The sequence below is a fragment of the Homo sapiens genome, chromosome 4 (genome assembly GCF_000001405.40).
Source record: "Homo sapiens chromosome 4, GRCh38.p14 Primary Assembly".
Lineage (NCBI taxonomy): Eukaryota > Metazoa > Chordata > Mammalia > Primates > Hominidae > Homo > Homo sapiens.
Window position 1 is genome coordinate 28,022,737 of NC_000004.12, and position 13,856 is coordinate 28,036,592.

At 34.1% G+C, this 13,856-nt stretch overlaps 1 long non-coding RNA gene across 1 annotated transcript in view; it reads right to left on the reverse strand.

Moving 5' to 3' along the window:
• Positions 1 to 1,520: 1,520 nt before the first annotated feature.
• Positions 1,521 to 13,856, reverse strand: part of LOC105374553 (uncharacterized) — an 84,694-nt gene continuing 72,358 nt past the window's right edge. The window contains exons 2-3 of the long non-coding RNA XR_925524.2: positions 3,227 to 3,401; positions 1,521 to 1,631 (exon numbers count right to left, since the gene is read on the reverse strand). This is a non-coding gene — a long non-coding RNA (uncharacterized LOC105374553). The remainder of the gene's footprint in view (positions 1,632 to 3,226; positions 3,402 to 13,856) is intronic.

The window sequence follows — 13,856 nt, forward strand, 5'->3', positions numbered from 1 at the left end:
GTTTCCAATAGCGGGAGAAAGCTAGGGCAGAGCATATTTGAATTCTTTATGGGACATCATTCTTTGATGAACCCTTGAGGGTACACATTTCTTATTAAGAATAAATGTTATAATATGTTAACTGAGTAAGGAAAATTAACATTGTCCCAATTTATTCATCCTCAAATTTAGGATTAAATGTGCTTTATATAAATTATAAGTTATTATTCTTACACATCTGAGTAGAGCTAGCTTTCTGTATACACAGTAACTGATTTGTTTCCTTCAGATCATTTGCAAAATTCAAATATATCTTTTTGAATCTTTAGAAGTGGCAAACAAAGAAAAACTCAACTCTTCTGGGTTTTTTTTGCTTAAATATTTTCCTGGTGATAATTCTTCTGCACCTATTTATATTTAACATATACTGTATACATACCCATATCATTCTCTCTCTATATAAATTTAATCACTTTATATGTACATAGCAATTTAATTGTATCACTTTTTTTCACAGTATGTCTTTTTTTTTTTTTTTTTTTTTTGAGAGGGAGTCTCACTTTGTCATTCAGGCTGGAGTGCAGTGACACGCGATCTCCGCTCACTGCAACCTCTGCCTCCTGGGTTCAAGTGATTCTCCTGCCTCAGCCTCCTGAGTAGCTGGGTCTACAGGCATACGTCACCATGCCCAGCTAATTTTTGGATTTTTAATAGAGACGGGGTTTCACCATGTTGACCAGGATGGCCTCAATCTCTTAACCTGGTGACCTGCCTGCCCTGGCCTCCCAAAGTGCTGGGATTACAGGTGCAGTATGTCTTTTTAAAAATCATAAGCAGCAAAGTGAAAGCAGTGAGCTAACTGAAGAGGAGCAAATGTGTTATCCATAGTGCTTTCTGATATAGACAGAGGTATGGAAGAGTGAGCTTATGCTATAAGCATCCTTCCTAGACAATGGAAAAGAGGAGGAGATAAATACACTCTGATTCAATCAAACGAAACAACATAAAAGTTGAACTGACACAGGAGTTTTCAGAGCCATCCTATAATACCTGTTGTGATAATACCCTAAAAACTTTAAATTCTATTTTTAAATTTATATTTTCTCGTTATCACTGCTCAAAACCAGGTAATTATTTTTTCATTTAGTGTCATCAACTCTTGCCTGAATTGGCTATCTAAGAGCCTTTCAGGGCCAAGGTCATTACAATATTTCTAAACAAGAAGTAATTTCCCATGAGGTCTCCAAGGTGTTACATTTCAAACCAATACATATATTATGGTATTTGGAGCTCTTTGATTTTCATTTATGCATATCCCAGTCAGCATATGATCACAGCTGGAAAAATAAGCTTGAGTAATGGAATAAAGGAGATGCTAAAGCAATAGTTCTTAGAATGGAGGCCATTAATCTAATTGCCACGGATGAATGATTATAAGGTCCTGCAGCCCTGTTACTTGGAGCTACCTTTTAAACCACAAATATGAATATAACATTTTAAAAATATGACCAGGCTGAAGAGTGTTAAATTTACAGTTTCCGGAAGGAATATTCTGGGACTTCCAGCATCTCAAAGTGATCCCTCAAACCTTTAGCTTGTTAAGTTCAACATGCAAGATGCGGTAGATGGAGATGTTTACTCCAGTTCCTCACCTATAGAAAGAATATTATCACAGTCATCATCCTCTGTATCATCATCCTCATCATCATTGTCATCATCATCATCATCACTATTTTCATTATTGTTCCTGTCTAATACTGTGTGATTTATTGAGACATTTGATGTGAAGGCTTTAGCATATACCCTGGCAGGTAGCAATCATATACTAATATTCTAAGTAAATTCTAAATATACTTAGTAAAGTAAAAATATATATTTTTGAGATCTTGGCTCTTCCAGTTGTTACTTAAAACAAAATAGTAGGAAAGTTGTATAATCTTGGTAAGTCTCAGATTTACCCTTGTAAAATGGGGATTATACTGTCTGTTTCTAGGTCTGCAACAGTATAGGCATCAAATTTAAAAAGCTTGTATAACACTTAATAAATAACTTGACATATAGTGCAAGCTAAAATATTGAATTCAACTTTAGCAATTGGAGAATATTCTCATAAAGCAGGTGGTCAAGGCTATGTACATTGAGCTTTTAAGAAGCAATCATTCTCTGTGACTAAAAGTTGGTGGATATATGTTTTTGTTCTCCCTGTTCTCCCCTTTGTCTACGTCTGACAGAATCCTGCCCTGTAAAACCATTATAGACAAGTAAATTTATCAAATTTGTATGAGAAACATCCCCTTAAACAATACATCTTAGGTGAATGTTTTAAAATCCAGTGAAGGAAGAGTCTAAGGTAATTTATATTTGTTACATTTCTATATATCTTTAGATCTTTAGTACACAACGCCCATCCTTTTTGGGTCATCCACATGTTACATTTGTGTTAAAAGAAACAATTCTCATTGAAAAGAAATAAAGTGGAAAAAGTAAGAACTTTGGATCCAGGATGACTCTGTTTCTAATACCTGCATTGATTGCTACTTATAGGTGTGAGGCTTGGGCAAGTTATTTGACTTCTTAGTTTCCTCATCTATCAGAGATAGATAATGGTGCCAGTACTGTAAGGTTCTTACAAGGATTAAATATCATGTATGTGAAATGCCTAATAGATATTCATTAAACTGAAGCTTTCATAACTCTCTACTAGAATTTTATGCCAAATGTACCCCAGTCTCCATTTGTTACTCATTTTTTTCCATCGACAACATTCTTTAGGAAAAATTTTTTAAGACAATTCCTTCAGAGACATTTTCAAGATGAATTTGTCATGTGATTTTCACCGTCACTCAGTTCCCTTTTTCATTCTCCCTCTAGAATGGGAGACTATGATAAATGAATGACTGGGTCTATGGCCTTGACATTAGACACCACACTTGAAGGGGGTATTTCAAAGTTTCTGCCTTCTAAACTAAATGGAGACAATATAAGCTACTTTCCTTCTACAACCATAATATCTAGGCCTTGGTATTTAGGAGTTTCTGCATTTCAGAAACAATGGTGATATTTTTACTTCTCAGAAAGATCTGAGCTCGTCCTCTCCAGGCCTTCCCTTGCTCTGGTCTACCTTGTCTTTAGGCTATTCTTTCTCTGTACCCACCCCACCCCTATCCAGAAAAGACCTTCTCTTCCTTCAGATCTAGGTTCATCTCAGAAAAAATGCTTCTTCCTTGTTTTGATTTAGAAAATTTACCTTCATATTATCTGAAGTCTCTCCTGCAGGATAATCATCACGGAGGTAATTATTTTCTTGACTTTCTCTCTGGTGAAATGTCCATTAGAGCTGGGATGAGTATTTATGTTGTTCAGTGTATCATGCCAGCATAGGCACAGTACCAGATACACCTCAATCATTTAATGAATATTTTCTGAATAAACAAAGACAGCAATGGAGAAAGGATGAGCTAGAAATGCCAGTGATGTACCTATTTCTTAGGTGTTATGTAATTCTTTTTGTTACTTTGTTTTCCTTTAATTGTGATATAGTTGCACTGGTAATTATTTTCTTGTTCTCATAAAACAAAACAAAATAATTAAAAAGCCATTCAAAATACATCCTAGTAAAATTACAACTGAAATGTAATTGAGTAAAAATAAAATTTACTTATGTAAGTCGTAGAGTTTTAGTTTTTATTCTCAAGGTCAATTTCTTAATCTCTCTGGAAATTTATTAATTTCATTAAAAGATATAAAGAAAATGACACCTGCAAAGACCAATTTAACTACTTTTAACTCTTGTTGTCTTTTTAGTTCAGCCATATGCTGTGTGATTTAGGACATGTTATTTAATCTCTCTGTGTTATGGAAATATGTATAATCTATCCAAATGAATAGAAAGAAAACTGTGTGATTCGGGGCATGTTATTTAATCTCTCTGTGATGAAATCCTTGCCTAAAAGTTAGAGAAAAATTAGAACTAAGCTCACAGAGATTTTAAGAAGCTAAAATGAGTCAATATATGTAAATCACTTAGAATATTATTATTGTTAGTTTTTTGAAAAAACTTGAACAGTATTTGGTGCTATGCCTTCTTCAATTTTTAGAGATGCCACTTGAATCATCAAAGGACAACTATCTTGTCATTTTACCTCTCTATTTAGTAGAAACACGTATTAAATGAGTTAGCATTCACTTTTTAATAACTAATTTGCTCAAGGTGGTTTCAATACTGCTTGTATCTAATTTTTTGAACCATAGGTAAACTTAAAACTCAACATAAGTTTTGCTCTGTATTATAGATAAAATTGAAATGATAATAAATATCAAATACTCTTATTGAGTTGATTGTTAGTTCAATAAATATTACCTCCTTCTTTACAGTGGGAATAAATTAGGCACGTAATGAGCTTTCATGAACAGTTCAGTTTTCCAAACAGCAACCCTATAGATGGAAAACTTGTTGGTATCCAAAAATCACACTGGAGTGTGGAACATTTGGAAACAACAGCTGTACCACTCGGCAGGATATACCCAAAATGTTCATTCAGGGGAGTCTAATGAAGGTTTATAACACAAGATCTGTTCTTAGATATGAAGGTTGGACTTAAGGACCTAAATAGAGGCAGTGTGATGTTGGCAATTGCTTGATAACTTCACCCCTTTTACTACTTGTTCACCTAAAGGAGCAATGCAGCATAGAAACATGAAATCTGGCAGCTGGAGTGAGCAGCAGAGGTAGAAGTTTCCTCTACATGGAGGAAAGCAATCCCTGTCCAAACTGCACCCTGGCAAAAAAGAGAGGAAAGAAAAAATTCTCGCTTTCTTTGCAGCTCATCAATTTTCTACTGCTGCCTCCAAGTTCAAACTGGGGATGGAGGAGTTAGGACGTGCGGGGTAACGAAACCCATAAATCAATCTCCCGTGGCCCAGAGCAAGGTAGTGAAGAAAGCGTAAGTGAAGCATCTGAGGGAAAATGGAGATTAGTCAGCCCAGTGGCCTTAGGGAAAATTCGGTAATTTTAAGGTACCATCATCTTAGTCTAAATGAGTTTGGTTATTTTGTTTTGCTTACAATTAGGTTTGTATAAGCAGTCAAAATGAATAGAAAGAAAATGTATACATCTGTCATCTATCTAAGTTAATTAATTTGTATGACACACCGTTTTTGAGTAAAAATAACACAGGAATAATGTTATCTCCTGGTAAGCTGAAACTACTTGCTAATGAAACTCAATTTTTTTCTGGTCAGGTTAAGATTTTAGACATACTTGCCATATTACCCAAGGAGAACACTATTTTAGAATATTGTTTTTCCCTTGTGCTGATACATGTTTACTTCTCTGTGCTTTTGGTATTAATACAGTAGTATTTGTTACAAACATTTATATTGCGATTGTGTAGAATATTACCCTTAATTTTTCAGGATACATTTTGTATTTTATATGCAAACCTATTCGTAATTGATTGGTGCTCAGGACTATCAGTGTTTAACTCCAGAACGTTCTAAGACATAGATAGTAAGTACCTACGTATTTTCATGGTGATCTTGCCTAATTCTAATGTACTGTAAGATAATCAAGTTCATATAATTTGTCTTTGGGATTTTGTAACAAAGCCATTTCAGATAATAAAACATAGAATTCAAATAAATTGAATATTGGCTTGCAAAATAAACTCAAGATTTGTTATCACATCACATATATTATAGATAGACAAAATAAAATATTGACAGATAATAAATATCCATATTTTACAGATATATATATATACATATATTCATCCTCGATTTTTTTCTTAAAGTAGAGATCACAGCCTAAACTTTCATGGTTGTAGAGAATGGTAAAAACGTAGCACTTTATGTGTGCAGTTCTCAAACATTTTTGTTTCCTTTATATTTTTAAAAATTATTGAATGCTCTAAAATGTTTTTGCTTATGTAGGTTAAATATATTAATATTTTTGTGTTAGAAGTTAAAATGGAAAAACAGTTAAATATTTATTTTAAAATGATAATAAATGTGCATATTAGTGTTTTAAAAATATTTCATGTTAAAATAATATTTCACAAAACAGAAACAATAAATTGAGGATAACAGTGGTATTGTTTTACATTTTTGCAAATATCTTTATTATCTAATTTGATAGTAACAAACATGAATTTTGACATGCAGTTCTCCATTCTGTTGCAATATACTGTTTTGGTTGAAGTGTATAAAGAAAATCTGGCCTCACTCAGATAATGCAATGGAAAAATGCAGAACCTTTTGGACCTACATAAAGGCTTTTAAGGACCTTCAAAGTGTCCTGGGACCACACTCTGAGCTTTAGGCCATTCCTGTCAATAGAAGTAGTCAATAGAGAACAATGATACTGGTAATGGGCTGATTCCCTACTCCCATCCTGCTGGTTCAGAAAGAACAAAAATGTTATAAAACATTTATGATTATTGTATCATTTAATAATCACACAGCTCTACAAGGTGGGTACAATGATGCCCAATTGATAGGTGATGAACTGGAGGCATACAGAGTAACATGTCTGAAACCACAATTACTAAGAAAATAATCAGGGATTTGAGTCATGCCTATTTGATTCCAAAGCCCAAGCTCTTTTCACTATATCATTTTAAGGGAATTTTTTTATATTATCAGCTTTTTCTGTTAGGACTACCTGAGAAGGGACAGTGTCACCTGTCAGTTGTGTTTTAACTTTAATATATGACTTTCCTTATATAATAACAAGAGTTGCATTGCCTATATGCATTTTGTTTCATCATCATTATTGTTCGTTGTAATTTTTTAATATTACTTCAAAAGAATACTTAAAACTACACTACCTGAGTAATAACAGGTTTGTCTTTGGTGAGCACAAAGCTATTTTTATCCTTAGTTTTTTTTTTTTAAAGAAATTCTTACATATAATAGTACCCCTAATCTGCAGTTTTGCTTTCCATGGTTTCAGTTGCCTGAGGTCAACTGTGGTTAAAAATATTAAATGGAAATTACAGAAATAAACAATTCATAAGCTTTAAATTGTGTGCCATTCTGAGTAGCTGATAAAAATTTCTGTTATTGCACTCTGTCCGGCTCAGAGCATGAATCATTTCTTTTTCCAACATATCCATACTATATGCACTATCAACCCATTAATTACTTAGTAGCACTCTCAGTTATTAGATCAAAAAAAAACAATGTATACAGGGTTTGGTACTATTTGTGGTTTCTGGCACCCACTGATAAGGGAGGACTATTGTATATGTACTTCATTTCATTCGATATGTTATACATATACAGAAATTAAAAATAAGCTTTTCTCCTTCTGTATTGACAGGCAATATCGTCACTATCTCTCTCAACTCACAGCCCTGACCTCCTACCTGATTAACTATTGCAAAATCCTGAATTTTCTTAATAGTATAGCTTGAAATACACTGATATAGGTGTGTACTTTTCTTAACTAACTTAAAAAAGTGGGTATCTCCTCTTTCCATGGGCATGAAAATAATAATCATAGTTTTGAGAATAAAGAGAATGGGTCAAAGTCCTTAGTTTCATTTTAGTGACACTCTTCCCCAAAATATCTTCCTTTGTGACTTTTCCCATAAATGTTTGGTGATATAACTACCTATGCGTTCCTGACAAATGACTATTTCCCCACTAAAATACAAATGCCCATGAGGTTATGAAGGGGTTATTACTGATCATAATTCACTATCATGAATGCAATTATTAGATTTTAAAAAAATAGCTATGTAGATGAGGAGTTAGAAAAAATAGCAGTCAATATGTATTTCTGCTAAGGAGTACAGAATAAGATGTAGACATTTGGGTTTCTCTGGATAAAATGTCATATGCCTAGAAAGAAGCACAACAAAAGTACTAGCTTTGAATGGGCAGTGGGAACCCATGAAAGAAAGAAAGGTTTATTTAATAATATGATCTATCTTGTCTTGACTCTTATTATGGCTTTACATTCTGTTTCTATTAGAAATGTGTTCAAAACATAATGAAAGCAGTCAGCCGTAATTTAAGTACAGTTTAAACCCCACATGGGGTTTTATATTTTACCTGTGGGAAGTTCAGGGGTAGAGAGTCAAAGGCTATGACAGCAGCTGAAAAATACCATCACCAATTTTGACTTTTTTCTCTTGCTTTTCCCTCATCCTTCATGTGTTTTTATCTCTTTAAAATCAAAAGATAATTGCTTAGTCTCCATATTTCACATTCTCATTCTAGGCAAGAAAAAAGTCATAAATTCCATATCCTTTTCTGTAAGAAATTTACCTTTTATTTGGGAAGGAATCCCTTCCTACAAAACATCCATACATATCTCACTTACAAGAGACACAATAAGCTCATACCACACTGAAATGTAGCTAGGAAAAATGAATATTCATTTTTTAGTTCTTCTGAAAGAGGAAAGCAAGGGAGAAGGTGGTGAACCATCATTTTTATTCATTCATTTTCACATATTTATTAAGTGTGTATGGTGTTTCTGGAAGCTTTCTAGGCATAGATAGTATAGTATATTATACCAGAAAATACAAAAATTCTCATTTTAGAACTTACATTTTAGTATCAGAATGCTGCTGGCCTAGTAAAATGTGTTAGAGAGAAGTCCCTCATTTTTTTTGGGGGGGGAATAATTTCAGTAGAATTGGTACCAGCTCTTCTTTGTATGTCTGCTAGAATACAACTGTGAATCTGTCTCTTCCAGGGCTTTTTAGTTGGGAGGCTTTTTATTATTGATTCAGTTTTGAAATTCATTATTTTTCTGGCCAGGATTTCAATTTCTTCCTGTTTCAATCTTGGGAGCTTGTGTATTTCCAGGAATTTATTCATTTCTTCTATGTTTTCTAGTTTGTGTTCATAGAGGTAATTTTAATAGTCTCTGAGGATTTTTTGTATTTCTTTGTGGTTAGTAGTAATGTCATCTTTGCCATTTCTGATTGTGTTTATCTTGATCTTCTCCTTTTTCTCTTTATTCCTTTAGCTAAAGGTCTATCGATCTTGTTTATTCTCTCAAAGAACCAACTTATGTTTTCATTCATCTTTTGGATGGATTTTTGCATCTCAATTTCATTCAACTCTGATTTCAGTTACTTCTTTTCTTCTGCTAGCTTTCTGGTTGTTTTGCTCTTGTTTTTCAAGTTCCTCTTGTTGTGATGTTAGGTTTTAATTTGAGATCTTTCAAACTTTTTGATATAGGCATATACTGCTGTAAACCTTTCTCTTAACACTCTGTAAGCTGTGTCCCAGAGATTCTGGCATGTTGTGTCTTTATTATCATTAGTTTCGAATAATTTTCTTGATTTCTGCCTTAATGTCTTTATTTACCCAGAAGCCATTTAGGAGCAGGTTGTTTAATTTCCATGTAATTGTATGGTTTTGAGCAATTCTCTTAGCATTGATTTATATGATTTTTGTGCTCCTGTCCAAGAAAGTAGTTGGTATGATTTCATATTTTGTATTTTTTCTGATAATTGTCTTATGGCCAAGTGTGTGGCTGATCTTAGAATATGTGCTGTTTGCAGATAATAAGAATGTATATTCTATTGTTGTTGGGTACAGTGTTCTGCAGATGCCTCTTAGGTCCATTTGGACAAGAGTTGAATTTATGTACCAAAAAACTGTTAGTTATGTGCCTCAATGATCTACTACTCTCCGTGGGATGTTGAAGTCTCCTGCTATTATTGTTGGTAATTTAAGTCTCTTCATAGGTCTCTGAGAACTTTTCTTTTTTAAATACCAAAACCTGGCAAAGACAGAAAAGAGAAAACTTTCAGCCAATACTCCTGATGTACATAGACACAAAAATCCTCAACAAAAATACTAGCAAGCCAAACCCAATAGCATACCAGAAAGCTAATCTATAATCCCAAAGTCTATGGGATACAGGGAAAGCCATAGAAAGAGGAAAATTTATAGCTGTAAGTGCCTACCTAAAAAAAGCTGCAAATAAATAACCTAATGATGCATCTTAAATAATTAGATAAGCAAGAGCAAATTAAACCCAAAATTAGTAGGCAAAAGGAAATAATAATAATAATAATCATGCAGAAATAAAGGAATTTGAAATAAAGAACACGATACAAGATCTATGAAACAGAACGTTGATTTTTTTTAAAGTTTAACAACATTGACAAACCTTTAGCAAGACTAACTAAGAAAAAAAGAGAAAAGACCCAAATAAAATCAGAGATGAAAAATAAAACATCACAACTGATGGTTCAGCAATTTAAAGGAAAATTACTGGCCGCTATGAGCAACTATACACCAATAAATTGGAAAATCTAGAAGAAATGAAAAAAATTGTTAGACACATACAACCTACCAAGATTGAACCATGGAAAAAATCCAAAACCTAAATACACCAATAACAAGTAACAAGATTGAAGTAATAATAAAAAGTCACCTTGTAAAGAAAAGTCCAGCACCAAATGGCTTCACTGCTGAATTCTACCAAACATTTAAAGAATTAATAGCATTTCTACTCAAACTATTTTGAAAAATAAAGAGGGAATACTTCCAAACTCATTCTATGAGGCCAGTATTACCCTGACATCAAAATCAAAAACACATACAATAAGAAAACTATTGTCAAATTTATCTGATGAATATTGATGTGAAAAGCCTCAGTAAACCATTAAAAAACTGAATTCAACAATACATTAAAAAGACCATTGGTCATAACCATCTGGTATTTATTCCAGAAATGCAAGGATGGTTCAACATCTACAAATCAGTACATGTGAGGAGACATTACCTGACCTCAAATTATACTACATGGCTATAGTAATCAAAATGGCATGTACTGGCATAGAAATAGACACATAGGTCAATGGAACATAATAGAAAACCCAGAAACAAAGCCAAACACGTACACTGAACTCATTTTTGACAAAGGTGCCAAGAACACAGTAAATGGTGCTGGGAAAACTCAATATTCTAGTAAAGAAGAATAAAATTTGATCTTTATCCCTTATTTTATACAAAAATCAAATCAAAATATATTAAAGACTTAAATATAAGACGTCAGACTATGAAACTACTACAAGAAAACAGGAAACCTCTCCAGGATATAGCTCTGAGCAAAAATTTTTGGGGGCAATACACCACAAGCACAGACAGCCAAAGCATAAATGGACAAATTTGAATACATCAAATTAAAACGCTTTCACACAGCAAAGGAAACAATCAACAAAGTGAAGAGACAAACTACAGAATGCAAGAAAATATTTGCAAATGACTCATCTGACAAGAGATTAGTAAAAAGAATATATAAGAAGTACCAATATCTCTGTAGGGCAAAAATCTAATAATCTGATCATAAAACAGGGAAAAGGGTGAATAGACATTCCTCAAAAGAAGGCATACAAATGGCAAACAGGCATGTGAAAAAGTGGTCAACATCACTGATCATCAGAGAAATGCAAATCAAAACTACAATAAGTTATCATTTCAACTCAGTTAACATGGCTTTTATCCAAGTGAAGCAATAACAAATGCTAGCAAGAATGTGGAGCAAAGGATACCCTTGTGTACTGTTGGTGGGAATGTAAATTAGTAGAACCACTATAGAAAACAATTTGTATGTTCCTCAAAAAACTAAAAATAGAGCTGTAATATGATCCAGGAATCCCACTACTGAGTACATATTCAAAAGAAAGAAAATTAATATATCAAAGCATTGTTTACAATAGCCAAGACTTGTAAGCAACCTAAGTGTCCATCAACAGACAAATGGATACAGAAAATGTGACACTTAAACACAATGGAGCTATTCAGCCATAAAAAAATAAAATGAGTTTCTGTAATTTGCAACAACATAGATGAAATGGGAGGTCATTATATTAAATGAAATGAGCCAGACACAGAAAAGCAAACATCACATATTCTCATTTGTTTGTGAGATCCAATAATCAAAATAATTGAACTCATGGAAATAGAGAATATAAGGATGATTACTGGAGCCTGGGAAGGGTAGTAGGTGGGTGGGGAGTAGGTAGGGATGGTTAATGGGTGCAAAAAAGTAGAATGAATAAGACATATTATTTGATAGCACAACAGGGAGGCAATAGTCAATAATAATTTAATTGTACATTTTGATATAACTAAAGTAGTATAATTGGATTGTTTGTAACAGGAAAGATAAATGCTTGTGGGAATGGATACCCAATTTTCCATGCTGTGGTTATTACATTTTGCATACCTGTACAAAAATATCATGTACCCTATAAATACATGCACTTATATGTACCCACCAAATTTTTTTTGAAAAAGCTAATACACCATGATGAAATACACTTTATTCTTGAGATGCAAGGTTGGTTCAGAATATGCAAATCAATAAATCACATAAGCAGAAGTAAAAGGAAAAAACACATGGTTATCTCAATAGACACAGAAAAGACTGCTGCTGAAATTCAACATCCCTTCATGTTAAAAACCCTCAACAAACTAGGAACGAAATTAACATACTTCAAAATAATTAAAGCCTTCTATGACAAGCCAGCATCATACTTAACCGGCAAAAGCTGAAAGCATTTCTCTTGAGAACTGAAACAAACAGGGATGCTTACTCCCACTACCCCTATTCAACATAGAATTGGAAGTCTATATTAGTCTATTCTCAAACTACTATAAAGAAATATCCGAGACTGAGTAATTTGTAAAGAAAAGAGATTTAGTTAGCTCATGGTTCAGTAGGCTATACAGGAAGCAAGGCAGCATCAGCCTCTAGGGAGGCCTCAGGGAAATTACAATCATGGTGGAAGGAAAATGGAAATGAGGCACTTCACATGGCTTGAACAATAGGAAGAGAGAGGATGGAGGTACAATATACTTTTAAACAAACAGATGTCACAATAACTCACTCAGTCACTATAACAAGAACAAAACCAATGGGACGGTGCTAAACCACTCATGAAGGATGCCTGTGATTCAATCACCTCACACAAGGCCCCATCTCCAACAGTGGGGATTACAATTTAACATGAGATTTGAGCAGGGACACAGATCCAAACTATTATTCCACCCTGTGGCCCCTCTCAAATCTCCTCTCCTTCTCACATTGCAAAAGACAATCATGCCTTCTCAACAGTCCCCCAAAATCTTTTTTTTTTAAATTCGAGATGGAGTTTTACTCTTGTTGCCCAGGCTGGAATGCAATGGCATGATCTCAGCTCACCACAATGTCCGCCTCCCAGGTTCAAGTGATTCTCCTTCCTCAGCCTCCTGAGTAGCTAGGATTATAGGTATGCACCACCATGCCTGGCTAATTTTGTATATATATATATATATATAATTTTTTTTTTAGTAGAGATGGGATTTCTCCATGTTGGTCAGGCTGGTCTTGAACTCCTGACCTCAGGTGATCTGCCCAACTCAGCCTCCCAAAGTGCTGGGATTACAGGCATGAGCCACCGCGCCCAGCAAAATTTTAACTCATTTCAGCATTAACTCAAAAGTCCAAAGTCCAAAGTCTCATCTAAGACAGGATACTTCCTTCCAACTATGAGCCTATAAAATAAAAAACAAATTAGTTACTTTTAAGACAGAATGAAGGTACAAGCATTGGGTAAACATTCTTATTTCAAAAGGGATAAATTGGCCAAACCAAAAGGGCTACAGGCCTTGTACAAGTCTAAAACCCATCAGGGCAGTCATTAAATATTAAAGTTCCAAAATAGTCTCCTTTGACTGCTTGTGCCACATCCAGGACACCCTGATGGAAGGTGTGGGCTCCCAAGGACTTGGACAGCTTCACCTTTGTGGCTTTGCATGGTTTGGCTCCCACAGCTTCTCTTAGGGGTGAATGTTGAGTGCCTGTGGCTTTTCCAGGCAAAGTGTGTAAGTTGCTGGTGGATTTACCATTCTGGGGGCTG